Source organism: Homo sapiens, chromosome 10 (genome assembly GCF_000001405.40).
Source record: "Homo sapiens chromosome 10, GRCh38.p14 Primary Assembly".
Taxonomy (NCBI): Eukaryota; Metazoa; Chordata; class Mammalia; order Primates; family Hominidae; genus Homo; species Homo sapiens.
The window spans coordinates 112019941-112039817 of record NC_000010.11 but is presented as its reverse complement, the minus strand read 5'-3'; the positions used below and the strand labels follow the sequence as shown (position 1 = coordinate 112039817).

At 40.9% G+C, this 19877-nt stretch overlaps 1 long non-coding RNA gene across 1 annotated transcript in view; it reads left to right on the top strand.

Annotated features, from left to right (window-relative positions):
- LOC107984268 (uncharacterized) overlaps window positions 1-11475 on the top strand; it is a 31907-nt gene extending 20432 nt beyond the window's left edge. Inside the window, exons 3-4 of the long non-coding RNA XR_001747587.2 lie at window positions 3692-3761; window positions 6265-11475. This is a non-coding gene — a long non-coding RNA (uncharacterized LOC107984268). The remainder of the gene's footprint in view (window positions 1-3691; window positions 3762-6264) is intronic.
- The last annotated feature ends 8402 nt before the right edge of the window (window positions 11476-19877 follow it).

Genomic DNA, 19877 nt, shown 5'->3' with positions numbered 1-19877 from the left:
GTTTGTGTTTTGAAATGTATTAAAGCTTGTTTTGGTTTCAAGGATGAGAGAACTATTTGTTTCCTCTCATCTCTGGCCAGCTTCTATAGAGCAAGTCATTCACCTAACGTTTCTGATTAACCTAGATATTGGTTTCCCTTTGAAAGTAAAAGCTTGGCTTGAGTTCACAGAGGACTACGACTTCTTGGTTTCACCTTTGCCTGCTGAGTTCGTCTTCCCTTCAAAGTGCTTTGGATGGAGGGCGGTCATGGTTCCTGGGGAGGCTGGGAAGGGTGTAGTTGTAGTCTTTGACAGGTCTCAGATTTCAGAGATGTCTGTTATAGCCTCTGTCAAAAGAACCTCCCCTTAAACCTCAGCTGTGCCAGGTTCTGCTATTTGCTTTCCTGGTAGCAACTCAGTGCTTTGCTGGCTGAGGAGCTGGATCTTTCCACAGCAATTTTATTCATAGTCAGACATTCTCCACTTTCTAGTAATCCCAGAAGCTTTTCCTTGTACTGCCTTCTCATTCAGTCATTAGGGGGAAATCAGCTCTCTTGTCCTAAACATGAAACATGGAATGTGTTAGAGAACACTGCTTTAAGGCTTCAAATGTTTCTCTCTTAAAAACAGTGAAGGGGACTTACATTAACTAGGCCCTTAACAGCGAGAGATGTTGTGCTAAGCATTTCTTTTTTTGTTTGTATTGTTTTGTTTTCTTGAGACAGAGTTTTGCTCTGTCGCCCAGGCTAGAGTGCAGTGGTGTGATCTCAGCTGACGGCAACCTCTGCCTCTGGGTTCAAGCGATTCTCCTCCTTCAGCCTCCCCAGTAGCTGGGATTACAGGCATGTACCGCCATGCCGGGCTAATTTTTGTATTTTTAGTAGAGATGGGGTTTCGCCATGTTGGCCAGGCTAGTCTCGAACTCCCGATCTCAGGTGATCTGCTGGCCTCAGCCTCCCAAAGTGTTGGGATTACAGGCGTGAGCCACCATGCCCAGCCTTATGCTAAGCATTTCATATTCATCAACTCATTTTATTCCTCAAAACAGTCCTATAGAATAGATAATTAAGATTCTAGTTTATGTGATAAAACTGAGTATAGGCAACATTTGCATGGTTATAGAACTTGTAAGTATTAGAGCTAGAATTCAAGTTCTGCCAGACACCAAATTCATACTCTTAGTTTCCTCACTTACCTCCTGCTTTCTTTGGAAGGTCCTCATTTCCCCACTGCCCAACTGTTAGCAGTGTATTTGTTAAAAACAAAGCCCTAGCTGGGGACAGTGGTGGTTCACCCCTGTAATCCCAGCACTTTGGAGGTTGAGGTGGGCAGATCACTTGAGGTCAGGAGTTTGAGACCAGCCTGGCCATCATGGTGAAACCTTGTCTCTACTAAAAATACAAAAATTAGCCAGGTGTGATGGCGGGCGCCCATAATTCCAGCTATTCAGGAGGCTGAGGCATGAGAGTCACTTGAACCCGGGAGGCAGAGGTTGACGTGACCCAAGATTGCACCACTGCACTCCAGCCTGGGTGACAGAGTGAGACTCTGTCTCAAAAACAAAAACAAAAAGCAAAGCCCTAGATTTTATTTCAACTCATCTAACATGACTTCCCTTGAGCATTTTGTTTTGAGGCTAAAAAACATGAACATGAGCATCTCAATTAAAGTGCCCTTGAAAAGGTTTATTGGCAGATTGCTTTCATCTTGACCATAACGAATCACAGAAAAGGGAAAACAAGACAAGGAGTGGCCCGAAGTACCCTTTGAAACACTGCATTTGGTGAAACTGGCACAGAGTAGCTTTTAAGAATGCATTCTGTTCTTGCAAGCCAGCCTGGGGTCTAAGTGAAATAGAACCTGCAATACAATAAAGGAGATGCCTGTAAAAGATTCGTACCATGGAGCGGGGATGGGAGAAATTGACTGATGAAAACCCCACATTTCTGTAGTCAAGTCTTTACATGGAGTTGTCTGACGTGCAACCTAAGGTGGTATCACATTCGTAGACTTCTCTTCCTCTCCACTCCCCTCCCCTCCATTCATTTCCTCCCTCCCTCCCTCTCTTCCTCCCTTCCTCCTTTCCTTCTTTCCTTTTTTTCTTTCCTATTTCAAATATTTATTGAGCTCATACTACATGCTAATTACTAGGTGCTGAGGTTTCAACAGTGAACACAATCCCCACTACGGGGGGACCTATATGCAAGTGGGAGAGACAATCAACAAATAAATCAATACATATATATAATAATAGTTTAAGTCATGATAAGCACTGTGGTGAAAACATAAGGTGAGGCAAGTGGCTAGAGAGTGATGACACATGCCCTTTTGGATAGGAGGAGCCAGGAAGACCTCTCTGATGAGGGCATATTTGAGCAGACACCCCAGAGAATTAGGAGACCCAGCCACATGAATTTGTGAAGAAAGGGTACTCCGCAAAAGGGAAACAAGGAATGCAAAGGCCCCGAGGCAGGAGCACGCTTGTCGTTTTCAAGCAACTGCAGAGAAACGAGTGCAGCCAGAGCGGGTTGAGCAATGGTAAGAGTGGAGGAAACAAGGCTGTAGAGTGGGCTGGGGGTAAAATCAAGCCTTACAAGGGAAGGAGCCTGCACTTTATTCTAAATACCATGGATCCCACTGTAGGGTTTGAAGCAATAGTGTGACATCATCTGACTTGCTTTTCTACAAGATCGCTCTGACACAGTGAGGAGAGTGGACCAACGTAGACAAAAATTAAAGCAGGGCGACCAGAAAGGTGGTTATTGCAGTCATCTAAGCAAGAGTAAGGGTGACTCAGGAGCTTGCCCGCCACAGGGACTCTCCAGTGCTTTTGGGGTAGTATTGACCTATTCTATGTGCTAAACATTTTCCCTGTATTAGCTCCTCTTCACCTCTCAATCAGGTCCATACTCTTGAAGGATGTCTGCAAGCAATTCCTCTGTCTCCCTTACACACATACTGCCTCTTCCTACCAACAGCCTCTTTGCTCTTCTCTTGAATCTGAGATGCCTTTGTGACTTGCTTTGGCCACGAGAGTGTGGCAGAAACAACACTATGTCATTTTCAGACCTGTTCTTTAAGAAGCCTGGGAGGTTTCATATTCTCTCCGGGGAAGCCAGGCCCCATGTAAAGATGGCCCCACCCAAATCTCATCTTGGACTGTAGCTCCCATAATTCCCATGTATTGTGGGAGGGACCCAGGCTGGACTCCTGAATGATGAGACACCAGTGGAGAGAGAGCAAGAGGCCACATGGGAAAGCACCGGCCAAGGTGGAGAAGCTTTCTTAGCATGCATCCCTCCTAGCTGCTACTGAATACAGCTGAGTGAGTGATCTCTGCTGATGCCACTAGAACAAAGAACTACCCATCTGAACCCTGCCTGAGTTCTTGACCCACAGAATGGTGAGGAATAATTTAACATTGTTTTAAGCCATTCAGTCATGGGGTGGTTTATTAAGCAGCCATAGTTATCCAAAATTGTTGGTATCATCACCCCTATCTTGTAGATCAGAGTGGGCAAACTATACCCATTGGGCCAAAGCTAGCCTGCCACCTTGTTCTGTAGATAAAGTTTTATCGAAACACACCCAAGATTATTAATTTACATATTGTCTATGACTGCTTTCATGCTACACAGCAGAGTAGAGTAATTGCAACAGAGACCACTTGTTATGGCTGGCAAAACCTAAAATATTATTTTGCCCTTTACAGACAAGTCTGCTGTTCCCTGTTATAGATGATGTCTCATGGGACTGAGTAACGGGCTAAGATTGCCCAATCGGTAAGTGGCAGAGCTAGGACTCAAATCCAAGTCTGTCTGATTCCAATGTGTTTTGCATTCTTGCATACTGTTTCTTACATCAGTTCTAGCCTCAAAGGTGCGCACCCAAGGAAATTAAAAACAAACAAAACACACTCTTGCTCTGTGCTAGTGCTATGGTTTCAATGTCTATCCCTTCTGAAACTCATGTTAAAATTTGTTTGCTGTTGTGGTGATGTCAGGAGGAGGGACCTTTAGGAGATGATAGGGCCATAGGGCTCTGCCTTCACAGGTGTGATTGATGCTGTTATAAAAGGGCAAGTTTGACCCCTTTTGCCTCTTTGCCCTTCTGCCTTCTGCCATGTGATGATGCAGCAAGAAGGCCCTAGCCAGATTCCAGAGCCTTGCTATTGGACTTCCCAGCCTCCAGAACTGTCAGCCAATGCAGTTCCATTCATTATAAATTGCCCATCTCAGGTATTCTGTTAGAGCAGCACAAAATGAACTAAGACAGCTAAGTTAGGTAAAGTCAAGTAAGCATGATGTCATGCTATTTTTTGGGGGGAGGGAATCTCATTTTCTCCTCTTCTTCTCCTTTATTTTTTATGCTGTGTTATGATACTATTTGTAAATGGCAAAATCATGTTGGGATGAGAACACTGGATTTGGAGTTAAGACCTGGCATCATCAGGCTTTGCTACCTTGAATCTGTGTGACCTTGAGCCGGTTACTCAACTTTTATGACACACCATCTGAAACAGTATTTCTCCTTGTTTTATTATCAAAGCTAAAGAAACATTTTATGTATATGTATATTTTCATAATTGCACCCTCTCCATGAAATTTTCATACCGTAGATGAATCCCATAGATGAGGGGTCCCCAACCCCTGGGGGCCATGGCACCACAGATCCTTAGAAACCAGGCTTCACAGCAGGAGGTGAGTGGTGCGTAAGCTAGCATTACCACCTGAGCTCCGTCTCTGGTCAGATAAGTGGTGGCATTAGATTCTCGTAGGAGCACAAACCCTATTGTGAACTGCAGAATCTAACTAATGCCTGATGAGCTGAGGTGAAACAGTTTCATCCTGAAACCATACCCCACGCCCTCACCCCTTGCCTTGTAAGCGGAAAAATTGTCTTCCACGAAACAGGTCCCTTGTGCCAAAAAGGTCGGGGACTGCTGCCATCGATATTATACTGTATATCTGTTTTAAAGAGTCCAGATTTTCACCCCTTCCCCAAGAACCAACTTTTACTGCCTTGGGAATGATATCATCCTTGCTGAGGACACATGATCTCAAAGATGGATGAAATGGCCCTTGATGCTTGGTTCCCAAAGTGTTGGACCTTGTCCACATTTGCAATTTAGGGAAATCACCTACCGAGCAAGGTAGCATTCTAGAAGCCTGACAAATGTCACTTCCTTCACAGTCAGCACCTCTGTGGGGTAGATATTGTTCCTATGTTTTTCCTGAAGAGAGGCCTGAGACCTGGAGAAGTAACTGTCCAAGGTCACACTGCTAGTCAGGTCAGCGACAGGATTTGAATCTGGGTCACTCTAACATTAAAACCATCACCCTTAAGCAAGAGTAAAACACACTCTGAGAACGTAGGTTGTTTTTGAATCTGAGGGTTCCTTTCTGTGTTTTCCCGAGGTGGGACTTCTACTCACTGTGAAATAGTGGATCTCGAAGTATAGCTCTTGGACCAGCAGCATCATGTTTGTTACCTGTGCAAATGTTCTGACCCTGCCCCAGAGCTTCTGAATCAGAAACTCTGGGAGCAGAGTCCTCTCTCAGTAGAGGTTTTGGACCAACCCTCAGGTGATTCTGATTGAGAATCAATGCTGAAGAGGTTTTCTCCTGGAAAGGGACTTCTATCTGGAACATGTTAGGTCTAGCATAGTGGGAAGGGGTTGGAGAATGTGTTCTTAGTGGCTCTGAAGTGCACTGGCAGCTCCTAAGGTGATCGAACCACCTGCCTTCAACTAGCACGACAGGTCTGATTTCTCCTTTGTTAATACCTTTCTATTTTTTCCTCATGTCTCATCCACTTTTCCAAGCTGCTTTTGCTTTGGCTAGGCACTTTGGCTTCAAAGGACTGTTACTTCAAAAGACTTTTTACCATGATCTAAGTCACCATAATAAATTGTGCCACTGCCTGGAACTTGTTTTTCAAGTATGTTGCCCTAAAATCCTATTGTTATTTTGTTGGTCAGTCAAAGCTAGGTTATGCTGTGGTAACAAATAACCTTAACATTTCAGTGGCTTAAAACAGGTAGGAAACTATGATCCAGGGTCAAATTTGGCTATTTCCTGTGTTTATAAGTAAAGTTTTGTTAGAACACAGCCACACTCATGCATTTACATATCATCCAAGACTGCTTTGTGCCACATATAGCAGAGTTAAACAGTTGTGATAGAAACCAAATGGCTTGCAAAGTTGAAAATATTTACTCTTTACTCCTTTAGAGAGAAAGTTTCCTGAGTTAAAACAACAATGGTTTATCTTTCCCCATTCTAGGAGGCTGTTCCATGTCATCCTCCCTCAAAAACGTTAGATAATGGTGCCTCCACCATGTGGAACATCAAGGTTGGTTGTGTTGGGGCAAAGGGAGCAGTGGATAATTTCACACTGGGGATTAAAACTTCCACCCAGAAATGACACATTACTCCTTGATATGATTTGGTTGTGTCCCCACCCAAATCTCATGTTGGATTGTAGCTCCCATAATTCCCATGTATTGTGGGAGGCACCCAGTGGGAGGAAACTGAATAATGAGGGTGGGTCTTTCCCATGCTGTTCTCGTGGTAGTGAATAAGTCTCGTGAGAGCTAATGGTTTCATAAAAGGGAGTTCTCCTGCATAAACTCTCTTGCCTGCCGCCGTGTAAGACATGACTTTGCTCCTCATTCACCTTCTGTCATAATTGTGAGGCCTCCCCAGCCATGTGGAACTGTGAGTTAATTAAACCTCTTTCCTTTATAAATTACCCAGTCTTGGGTAAATTTATTCTTTATTAGTGGCATGAGAACAGACTAATACACTCCTCCTCTCATTTCATTGCACAAACTAACTGGCCTAGCTGCACCTGACCTCAAGTGGGCCAAAGAAGTACCATCCCCCCAGTGCCAAGGAGGAAAGTCAGCAACACTGTCAACTACAGTCAGTGCCAGTGAGAAAGGTCAGGGCTAAGGAGGCCTGCAGTAATGGTGAAGGAGAGTTTTGAGCTTTGGAATAATTTTCTTCACAGATTTCAAAGCTCAGGTCCTATTCTCAGGATAACCTAGCAGGGAAGAATTTCTAAAAAGTGAGAAAATTAGCCTATTTAGTTAGATCACCATTTTACAGACAACGTGGTGATCTTGTTATCAAATAATCACTAGCAAGTTTCAGGGAGTTACTTCAGTGCTAAGGAAAACAAGCTAATGATAATAGTTGCTGGGATATTTTTGTGTCTATAGTTTGGTATTTTGCTCCAAAAGCAAACCAGGAATACTCTCTGATGATATGCAAATAAATTTTTAAAATACAAATAAAACAAACTGTCAACTTTAGAGAAGCCAAATTACCAGTAGTAAGTAAATATCAGCAACATGGACTGGGCATCTTGATACAAATGTGGCCAGGAGGTAGGTTGTGGCTATGTAGCTGTGAACGCTGTTGAGTGCAGTCATGGCTGGAGCCAACCAGGAATTCTCTGGTATGGGAAGATTTGGAGAGACATTGTTCTCATGAGTTTTTGTTGAGATGGAAAAATGGAGCCCTTCTTTATCTCTCTCTACTCTCTTTGGGTGCTCATTACTATAAGCAGCAACCACATTCCAAATCCACTTGGCAAAGTTCTTTACCCAAAACCCCTTTGTAAAAAACAGTCAAAGCCTGTATTTGAACAAGGCAATCTGATTGCAGAGCTGCATAGTTTACTACTACAATATGGTGACGCTCAAATGTGTTTGACTACAGTTTCTAATGCAAATTTTCTCATATATACTGTTTTAGCCACATGATACCTAAATGCTATGTCATTAAAGGTCACTGAATATACACTTCCCATCTCATTCCTAGTAATTGAGGTAGAGATGTACTAATTTACTTCATTTATTATGGATTCTTTATGCTTTTCTTCATTTTGCACCACTGTAGGTTACGTTGTGATGAGGACTTTAGTTTTGGCAAGTATCCTTAATCGTTTGCTTAGGAAAAAGCTCCTACAAGTGGAATTTCTGGGTCAAAGGGTATGCTTGTAGAGTCACTACTTTTGGCCATGCCAACTTCACCTAGATGTCAACTCCAAGTAAATTAGAATGGTGACCCCTGAAACTGTGCTAGTCTTACAGTGCTGTAACATTAGGTATGGATTTTAACATCCATAACTGCCAGTCTTCCAGAAAGTTTGTGCTGAATAATGCTTCCATGAGCAATATTCAAGAAAGCATTTCTGTCCGGGTGGCATATACAGTAATCCTAGTAATAATAATAATAAAAACATCTGCCATTTTTTAAAGTAATAAAATATTTCATTGTTTCAATTTTGCATTTCAACAAAGTATTTTGAAAATTGCATCAGTGCATTCTCATGGTTTGTTTCCTCTGATCCAAGTGGCTGCCCTCAGAATGCTTCTTTTCCAGTGTTCAATTATGCTGATAAAGTCTGATCAAAGAGAGGACCTGTCAGGCCCAGGAAGCATGACATGGAGTATATGTGCCAATGAATGATTAAATTAGATGATGTCTGGCCTAATAGAATGCAGCTATATTCTTATATGTGCTTCTTCATTCAATGAGATATAATGTGTTATTTAGATTGAAATATATGAAGAAAATCTGGTCTCACATAGATATGTGGGTGGAAAAGGGAAGAGTAATTTAATAGCTTTTCAGATAATTGTGGCTATTTTTTCATACTACATCAAAACTTGACAAGTGATATTTCTTAGAGGTTAGTAATGATGTAGAATGTGAAACCATATCAATGAAAATTTTGTATTCTGTTACATTAAAACCTATTGGTCTATCTTGCACTTTGAATGAATTTTTTTTTATAATGCATGATTTTGTAACAACATTGACCATGTGGAAAATAATGATCTTCTGAAATACATCTTCATAAGGTGGATTCATTTCATATAATAAATTGTCAAGTCACATTTATTAATATCACTGCTGAGTTCATAAAGTATTTAAATATTGAGAACTGTCACACTCATGACAGTAGATGTGAGTTTTCCAAAATTTCAATTTCAACTACAAAGTTTCCATTTTAAAATTAGCAAAACAAATGATATTATTTATTACCCTTGAAATGACAAACTTTCTTCATTTATTTTTGAGAAAATTTCTACTAATTATCTAAGTCTAAATAGCTATAGTTTGTCTGTCATTTCTCCTTTCCAGTAAAAATTATGTTCCATGAAAAAAGTGGCTAGTTTAGCTAGTAACTTAAGTCATCACACAAACACTTTTCTACGAAACTGCTATTAAACTTTGCTAGGTAGCAGAATTTTTTATGTAGCCTTCCCATTTTGTCACACAATATTAGAAAGACGTGTACTCAAAGGTTGTGATTTAATAAAATTAATATTGTTTTTACTACTTCATAAAGGAATTTCTTAGTTAAAACTGGCATTTAAAAAAATGGGGCATATATGGCAGTGAAGAATGCAATGACTAGTAGTACATTGTGGACCCACTGCTTTGATTTGTGCTAGGGCACCAGCAATTTTACCTGCCATTGCTTTTATGCTGTCACTGGAAATGTCAACATGGTAACAAAAAACAAATAACATTTAATTTTATTATTAAAAAATATTTTGACATTGAAGACTCCCTGAAAGAGTCCCGAGGGAGTTTTCAGGAGTCCACAAACCACATTTTAAAAGCCTCTGCTACAGGATGACCTGGGTAAGGTGGAAATAGCTTTTTACTACCCGGATCCTCCACCAATAGGGATATTGTACTCAGTAAATATCCTGTAGCTGTAGTCATTTGGTTAGCATTTATGGGTACATTTTTAAGTTCCTCAGAATTAGGAGTGCTAGTTTTGATTTCCTCTACATTAAAGCCATGGTATATAAAGAGAGATGAGAAACAGTGACTCAGTGAGGAAAGAAAGAGAATGGGAAAATCCAGAGCTATCTAGGGTCAGTGGGGCCAGTGTATGTGTTGGGGAGTTTCCATTTTCCACTTGGGTGGTGAAGAACTTCAAAGAACTCCTGGCAAATAATGACTCTCCAAACCCCTGCACTAAGAGACTTGATGAGACCTGATGAACCCCTGCTAGAGGGGTTTGTCAACCCCTCTAGCAACCTAAGGCCATGTCCCTGGGATAACCCAGTCTCCTTTTCAGTTTCTGTCTAGAAAAGCTCAGGGCTGTCATATGAAATTGTTTGCTCTAACTGACACCACATCATGAGAGGCTCATGATCTCCCTTTCCTGAAAAGGACTTCATGCTTGTGAATTTTTCCTTTGTCCCTTTGACATGTATACATATTTCCTATAATGTAGGCTTGTCTTTCTCAAGGACCTGAAAGCCATTCTTTGAAATGTGATCATCAGAAAGATAGGGGCTCTGTCTCACAATCTCTGTGAGGAGTTAGAAATCCTACCTTCCATAATAGCCAGCCAGCCAGCCAAGCCAGCTGGCCTAATTACATTTTCACCCATCAACTCTTTGCCATTTTTCTCTTCCCTGACTCTGCTTGGGACATCTTCCCTTCCCTACTCTCTCATTCTCCCTTTAAAAAGTCCAGTCACCTCTGTGCAAATCATAAACTGGATTGGAGCTCAGCTCTTTCCCCTATGGTCAGTGGATACCTAATACAATCCTTTTCACTACTTCACTGTCTGACTTTGCTCATCTTTGACAGTGAGCTTACCAAAGTAGGCAATGTCCTGCCTTATCTAAGTAACATAATCGCCCCAGTCCTGAGTGCGGCTATGGAGCAGTGGGTCTTCAAGTGTGGTCCCCAGAGCAGCATCATCACCCTTGAGAACTTTTTAAAAACACAAATTTGGGGCATCCGTCCTGATCTATTGAATCAATCACTCTGGGGTTGGGACCCCACAGTCTGTGGTCTAACAGGCTCTACAAGTGATTCTGATGCTTGTTGATGTTTTTGAACACAGTTGTAGGGAATAGCAAGCTTATTAAGGGTGCAATGGAGGCAAGGCCAGTGCTCAGCTTTTAGGGACTCAATGCCAAGAGGGTGTCAAAACAGAGGAAATGATTCTCCAGCTGGGCTAGCCTCACCCGTCTTCCTGAGCTACTAGAAACTCCATCTGGGCAATGCCACTTCCATCCTGTTCCAGAGGGGAGCACATGCAAACTCCTTAGAACCCATGGTCCCCAGAATGAAGCATGAGCTACTCTGCTTTAGTACGGCTTCTCATGGAAGTGCCAGCTCTCCCCATGGAAGTGCCAGCTCTCCCCTGGCTAAGGGTTTGCTAGTAAAACTTAACCCAAGACTAGTGATAATCTTACAGATATTATGTTGAGGAAAGAAGTCAGCCAAAAAAGAATGAATATTATATGGCTTTATATCAAGTTCAAAATGGGGCAACATTGCCAAAATGACAGAATAGTAGTTGCCTCTGGGGGTTGGATATAGACTTGGGATTGGCCCTAGAGAACATTCTGGGAATGGCACCATGTGCAGAAGTTATGTAGGTGTATAGAGATGTAAAGTCACATCAAACTATGTTAACACATGCGAATGTGTTTTTACCTCCATAAAAATTAGTCATAAACCTTCTAATATTATTATATGTAACATATTTAATGATATTTAATTATATCTGATTTATATTTAATAGCATAAATTAAAAAAGACATAAATAAGATAACTACTCAACTAAATCGGATAAAATCACACAAATGTGACCAATGCAGTGTGTTCTGTTCCTGCCTAGGGAAGCTCCGTTGGCCAAGAAGCTGGTTCATATCTGATTTAGAAGTATGGATATGAGCAATTAGATGCAAAGAATGAAAGCTACTTCATAGTTCAGAAAATATGAGGAAGTATCGGCATGCTAGGCTATTTCTTTGCTCATGTGCAAACATGTACACAGATACATTTCTCAACATGAGACCTAAAGCACTTTCAAGGGAATAATTTTCAAAGCAGTTGCATCCTGCTGTTAATAGCCAATTAACAAGTAGGAGATAATAACTCCTCAGTTGTATTGTGGGTAGGTAGAGCAGTGTAAAGGCAACTAATTAACACCCAGTCTTTTAACATACTAATTAATCTAGCCAGGCAAGAGTGGTTTAGAATACGTTGAAGGCTCTGAGTCCCCCAAATTTCATTTTTCACCATGCCAATAAATAATTGAAGCCCACAGCTTTCATTTGTCCTATTCAGCCCTCTTCTTTGATGCCACTCAGCTTTGAAGTACCATCCCTAACAGAGGCAGAAAGCTATTTATCTATTTCTTTAATAGCCTCATGAATATTGCTTTGCTATTATTCTTAGCTGGCACTTGCAAGTTCTTAACATTTCAAGTTTTCTCTCCTGGATCATATTTTCTTTAGCTGTCTCTTTCACTTTGTGTGATATGTTAGCTTTGGTCGTGATAATAACATAAGTTACCTAGGATTTTCTTGACTAGTAATTTAGTGTACTGCTTTATTTAGTGTAATGCTTTGTAAACTTTATGAGGCTTCAGTATCCTCTAGAGAAGTTTGTAATGAAATGAAGATTTCTGGGCCTCACCTCTCTCCCTCTTGCCCTCTGATGATTTCATTTCAGAAATTCTGGGATGGGCCTAGACTCTGCATTTTAAATAGTTTCCCTATCCCTACATTCCCCAGTGATTTGAAGGCAGATGACTCTACTTGGAGAAATACTCCTTGGGTAAACAACTGAAGTCTTTGGTAATTTTGCCTAGTTGAGAAGTAAATTTTTAGGACAGAGTAAGATAACAATTTTTAAAATGTAAGCCTCTTACTTGGGTCTCTGAACTTCTTCTTGCTTGAGTGATGAACAAGTTAAGGAATAAAAGAAGGAAATAGCAGATGGGGGGCTGAAATATCCTCCTAATTACTGATAAGAGTGGATTTGTAGGATGAGGTTGAGTGTGAGAGCCAAACAAGCCACCAACGAACCCCAGAATGGGACAGCGTGTCCTCAGTCTCTGTGCACTGAGGCAGGCTTCCCTGTGCTTCAGGCAGGAACGAAAAGGAACTGTTTTCTGGGGCAGCTTGTGCTGAGAGGAGGAGGTGAGAGAAGTACACCAAGGTTATGCTTCCCAAATTGACCAATCTAATACATGACTTTACCTTCCAGGGAGTGGAGAGAGCCATGGGGGTCCCCTTTACTTATCAGGAAATAGCAGAAATAGAGTAAGCAGTGCTTCTCTATCTACACCTCTCAGTACTGGCCAAAAATCAAAGTTTGACAACCCAGGGAGCTCGCTGGGCTCTAAGGAAACAGGCCCTCTAGTGGGAATGCAATTTGGTGCAAGTTTCACCGAGGGCAATGTCTCAAGATATGACAAATGCGTATTTCACTTAGCATTGTGTCCTCTAGATTCATCCATGTTGTCCCACATGACAGAACTTCATTCTTTTTTTAAGGCCGAACAATATTCCATTGTGTGCATATACACTACATTTGGTTTATCCATTCATCTATTGATAGATGTTTAGGTTGATTCCATCAGCAGGGTGATAATAGTCAATAATAATGTATTGTATATTTCAAAATAACAAAGAGAGTGAATTTCAAATAGATCATCACCAAAAAGTCAAGTAAATGAGGTGATGGATATATTAATTAGCTTGATTTAATCAGTCCGCATTGTATACATAAAACACATTGTACTCTGTAGATGTAATTATGATTTGTCAATTAAAAATACATTTTAAAAAGCTACAAATGCACATATTCTTTGCCTCGGCAGTTCCCCTTCTAGAAACATCCTACAGATGTACTTAGAGGTGTGCCATGGTGAATTTGTAAGGACAATCATTGAACCATTGCTACTAAGAGCAAAATATTGACATTTCCATTAATAGGAGACTGTTAAATATGCCATGGTATGTCCATATAATGGAATACTACAAGAGCATAGAACACATGGGAACTTTTAATTTTCTGATATGGAACAATCTTTAAGATTTTTTTTTGATGAAAAAAGCAAGGTTAGAATAGTGCATATCATAAGCTGCTATTGATGTAAACCAGAAAAGGATTGGAATGAGAATATTTTTGGTCTGCATGGCACAGAATATCTCTGGAAGAATAAGCAAGAAAGGGATGGTATTGGTTGCCTCTGAGAAGAAATGGGTGGCTGGGAAGGAGAGTGAAAACATTTCAAAATTATGTATGATATTGTCCATTTTGAAATTTTAACCATATGAATGTTACCTATTCAAACCGTTAAATTAAAGCAATAGCAAAGCCAGCCATCTTGATGCCTACTCTCATATTGGTCAGCATCTTTTCATCTAACTCTAGTAGAGTATTTCAAATTACCTCCCACGGACAATCCCAAAGGACCCTGTCTTCCCCAAACCTGGCAGGATCTCCCTGGGCCTGGGCCCTTTCCTGATCCAGTCCTCACCTTCCTTCCATGTTTGTGTCCCTGTTCCTGGCAGCAGCCCAGTGCTCCAGCCAAGCCTGTCTCTTCCTGGTCCTCCGTGTCCCTTCTCCCTCTGGCTCTGGGATCTGCGGTCTGGCCCTGCCTGTGGATGCTCCTCTCCTCCCTCTCTCTTGAGCTCAAGATGTAGCCACATTCTCCTCAAAATGAAGCCTTGAGGACAATCAGAGTTACACGTGGTTTCTTTCTCCTCTGAATGTCAATAGCCCCTGTCTGCACCACTTGCCCAGTACCAAATCAGCTGCCTAAGATGGCTAATTTTTGTGTATGTAGGGGGTTACAAATTTACTCTCAGTCAATTGAGACGTGTAGATGAAATTGGCTCTCTTCATGTCTGTAGCTGATCTGGTCTCTTTCTAAGCCTCCACATATTGTGATGAGGAAAAAACCAAGCAACACATCTGGTTATCTCTGTCCAAACCAATAATCAATTAATCTGTAAACCAGTCTCTCTTTTGTAATGGGATAGGCAATGTTTAATGTTTATTTGCTTTATCAAAGGATTCATTATAGGCTTATTTAAACAGAGAAATTTCCTGTTAAATATATAATTATTTCCTTCTAAATAAATAGCTTTTAGTTAATATGACCACATAATTTCCTATCTAAAGTGGGACACTTTTGAGAAAGAAAGGGGATACTAATTGGATGGAACATGAGGATCTTAGGTAAAAACCGGGACTATCCCAAGAAAACCAGGGTGTATGGTTATCCTACTTTGAACATAGACAAATTCAGGGATTCTTAATCACAACCGGGTGGCTGACTTGGCCTCCCTTTCACTCTTAAGGGCTACCAACTCCTCTTCATCTCCTTCAGGCCCTCAACTGGTCTCTAATCTGGGCAGTCTGACTCCACACCTACATCATGGTGGGGGCACCATGGCAGATGTGCTGGCTCTCAGGTTATACAATGCAGCAGGAATGCTTATGCAAGCAGGTTTCATCTAATTTAATATGTATCCAACCATCAACAATTATCTTGTCCACTTGAAAACAAAGTCTTTACAAAAATAGAAATGTCAAAGACAGGAGGTTAAGTATCCTGATAACCTAATACATTTTAAAAACATACATTTTATGAAAGTACATTTTGCACATTTTGCATTGACAATGTCTCCTGGAACCTTCACAGCAACCATTAAAGTTGTAGTACCATAACTGAGGCTGACAGGCTGCTCTGCTTGGATGACTCAGCTAAATACATTAGTCTTCAGAGCCCCTTGCTCTCTTCTCTCCTCCTGTCCAATATGGTGGCCAAGAAGATGGAGGAAGGAATGGTTTATGTGACCTGATAGGACTGGGGTGAAAGAGGGCCACCTGGCCCTGGGCTAGACTTTTGGGTTTGCTGGCCTGGTCCACACTTGGACATTCTGCTTCCATCCACTGCTCATGTTGGCTGCTGCCACCACTGCTGCTATTAAATCTCCTTCTCATGTCTTCCAGCTTCTCCTGGGTCTTTTCTTCCTTCCCTATCTCCTTAGACTTCCCTTAACGTCTAGGGACCAGAAACCCCTCTGAAACTCTGCTATATCCGTCAGCCAGGCCCTGGTCTGGGCCTTCTCTTCCCACACACCTAGCTGACCCTAGCAGGCTCTGTGGCTGGTCTGTTGGCTCTCAGCTTTGCATTCCCTGTGCAATGAAACCCAGAGAAACCTGGGAGAGCAAACCTGATCTGTTTGCTGAGCCTCCTGTGCTGCCTTCTTGACTATATGGGGGATCCCTGCATTGGGGCAGTGCTGGTCTGCAGGATGAGCTCCCAAGTCCTAAATAGGAAGCTGGGCTCAAAGCCATCTGCCAGCAATGTGTTGATCAGCTACCTCCCTCTTCTCCAAGGCTTTGTGCTTTAGGACATAAATCTGATATTTTAGATTTACCTCTCCCCTACTTTGTCCCCACATTCCACTGGACTCAAAGGGATCTTGTCACAGGTTTTCTGGAAAGCAGATACTGAGATATAGATGAATATATAGAAGGCTTATTAGGGAGTCCTCTAGTCATCACCACCTATGGAAGGCACAGGAAGGAAACCTGACTGGGTAGAGTACTCTGCTGCAATCTTGATGGCTCCAGACAGTCCTAAGGGAACTCTGAAGCTGGGATGCCCTTCAGAGATATTCTGAGTTGGGGCAAAAGGGACAGGCCTTTACATTGCCCTGCATCTACCAGTTATTGGATGGGAGCTGCCCTGCCAAGGTGCACAGCCCAGGCAAGATGACTCTTCAGCTAAGGCAAGTTCCTAAGAAGGCCGACAGAAAGGGCTTCCTGGGAAGCCATACTATCTGAGAACCATGGTGTCCACCGCAGTTAGAATTTTCCTTTACCTTTCCTATGTCTTCTTTTGACTCTGGGCAAGCCATCATAGGTAGAAAATTATATTATCTATATTGTGGAAAAAGTCTGTGATTTAATATGCCAAGACTAGCCCTTGATATGTTAAATGGGAGCTAAAGAAATTTAAAGAATTGTTTCATTTTTAACAATGTCTGCCTTATGACCAATTATCTTGCATACAAATGCTATTTTGAATTTTGGAAACTCAATTATAATCTTTCTCTTTGCAGCTCTTCTATAATAATCCCAATACCCCTAAAGTATCAGATTCGATAATTTGGGCTAATTAGGAAGAAGGTGCTGCACACAGAAAAACCCAAGAGAAGATCACAGAATTATTTTCTAAAATATTTGTGATTTACCCTCATATATGCTTTTCTCTTTCCTTCTGTCTCAAAGCTACTTGAGAGCTGCTAGCAGGAGCATGTTATTCTTAAGCTTTTTTTTATTTCTCCCATTGTATTTATACGAGGCTTTGCATACATATATTGGTTATATATGTAACAAATTACTCCAAAATTTAGCACCTTAGCAGTAAACATGTTACCCAGATGCTGAAGGTCAGGAATTTGGGAGCAGCTTAGCTGGGTGGTTCTGACTCAGGATCTCTCATGAGGCTGCAGTCAAGCCATTGTCCAGGTCTGCAGTCACCTGAAGCCTTGGCCTGGGCTGGAGAATCTACTTCCAAACTCAGGTCCTTGCCAGCTGTTGGCCACAGCTTCAGGTCCTCACCAGCAGGTGTCTTCATAGGGCTGCTGCAACATGGCAGTTTGCTTCCCAAAGAGCAAAGGCTGAGAGAGAGAGAGAGAGAGACAGACAGAGAGAGAGAGAACAAGAGAACACTTAGGAGGTAAGCCACAGCCTTTTACAGCCTCATCTCAAAGGTGATATGCCATTGCTTCTGCCATACGTGATTGGTCACCAAGGTCAACCCTGGTACAATAGGGAGGGGACTATACAAGGGTGTGAATGTCACAAAGAGGGGATTGCTGGGGGACATCTTGGAATCTTGGAGACTGGCAGCCACAACTAGCTATAAATTCTTGACACACTGGAAAAGATTTGGGTTTGAGACTCAGATATGGATTGAAAATAACTCACTCTGCCACTCACTACCTGTGTGACTCTGAGCAAGTCCCTTTAACTTAGTTCCAGTTTGCTATGAGGATTGTAATACCTTCTTTGGAACAGTGTTGGGAATAACAAATGAGGTAAATATGCAGAAAGCCTTGCCCAAGAGGAGTGCCAATAGAGGGACATAATAAACGATAGCTGTTGTTATGAAGAAGATCTGAATTTTTCCCCACTCATACATCATGTGACGTTATCTGCCCCAAGCAAGTGGTCACCCTTAGGCCCAGTGAGTATTTCAGGTATTGATCTGCAGAACTGGGGAGTGATCTACTCAACCCAAGATCTGCATCTTCAGTGTTCTTACATCCCTCACTTTTCCTGACAGAATGACGGTCAGCTGAACTGAGGAAACAGCGCTTCTGGTTTAGGTAACCCCGGGTACCTTTGCCTCCTCCAATTTTTCTTGCTTAATGTCAAGGCAAATTAGTTATTGCAATTCAATTTCTTGAGCTGTGTTTGTCTTGGTCCCAAAACCACCCCAGGGGAGGAGACTGGATGTGATTCTAATTTGCTGTAATCACAGTTGATATTATCATTGTTTTGAAGATTTGTATTTTCTCTGACAAAATGTCAAACATACGAGGCAAATTTTATTCTGAATTTTAAATTAAATATTTAAAAATACACGAGTGGTTTGAAAATAATTACCCTTTTAAAGCTATCTGGAACTCATGCAGCTCCTAATAGGTGCCAATTGGCTTACAGATGCCATTGATTAACATAAGGGGGAAAATCCAGTCTTACATTAATTGTATGCTGAAAATTTTTAATACGGGAAACGTATTTAAGCATTGCTTTACCTCTACTAGGGTGAAGCATATGTTTTTAGTTACACTCAGATTGCTCTAACTGGTCAAATGTTCTTGGTTCTTAAATTGAAAACTCTAACCTTTCATACAAATAATGGATTTTGTCAGGGGTTTCTGTGCGTATTGTCCAAACATGTTCTTTTGGAAGAAAGCAAATAAGAAAAACAATTAAGCTTGCCAGATGGAGAATTTAGTGTTTTAGTTTTTCTTTTTCATATTATCCAGGAATTACTGGTTTCCTAAATAATTCACTGCTGGGTGAATTCCCAAGTGCATTTCAAATAAAATTTGATTTGCATACATCTTTCCAGGAACATATGTACCCTATCAAGAGAGCTCTGGTTATATGATTAAGATTACCATTGTACTTGACCACCCTTTCACACATGTAACATGCACACAATGGAACAAGAGCATTTTGAAACCTACAATATAATTCTAAATGGAAATTTGCTACGGAAGTTAGCTCACTTCAGGCAACTTTTGATGCATATCTAAAGTTTAGAAAGCGCTGCAGGAGGAAAGCCAATAAATAATTTATCCTTCTTTTCAACTCTTTATGCAATTTTTTCCCTTTAGCTAATTCTCCTAAAGTTGTGTCTTTCATTAAGAACTTGAAAGAATTATTTTTCTTTTACCAGACTCATAAATATTTCCTTTTCTATTCTCACTGATAGTTGAAACACGTTTAAATAAAATTTTTCTCCTAAAGGTATGCTATTTTATCTTTTTTCATGGAATGAAATGAAATTAAAATCTGTCATACTTTGAATTTCAGGACTCAGGTCAGTTTATTAAGGTGAATGGTACACTACTTTTTAGAGAGATCACTTTATTTTTTGAAACTAGTACATTCAAATCTCAGAATATAAGCAGAATCTCAGGATATAAATCTTTGCTTTTTATTTGCTTTGTATTTAAATATTTAGAAGGTTTGCTTTCATTAAAATAGTGCCTGTTTATTAAAAAAAATTTGAAAAATGCATAAACATTTAAAGCACATCCTAATGGTCCATTTACTCAGAGATACATACATGGATATTCTTGTATATGTTTTTCTTTTTCCCACATTTTTAGAAATATTTATTTGGGCTTCTGAATCTGATTGAAAACCTGCCTAAGTAAAGTATTTTTGAGAGAAATATCTAATTATAAGGCTTTTCTCTTAACAACGGGTAATGGCTTATAAGCAATATTTTTATTATTAGGCTTCATCCAGATATCATTGTTATTGAGCCAACTAGCTTTCTACATTTCC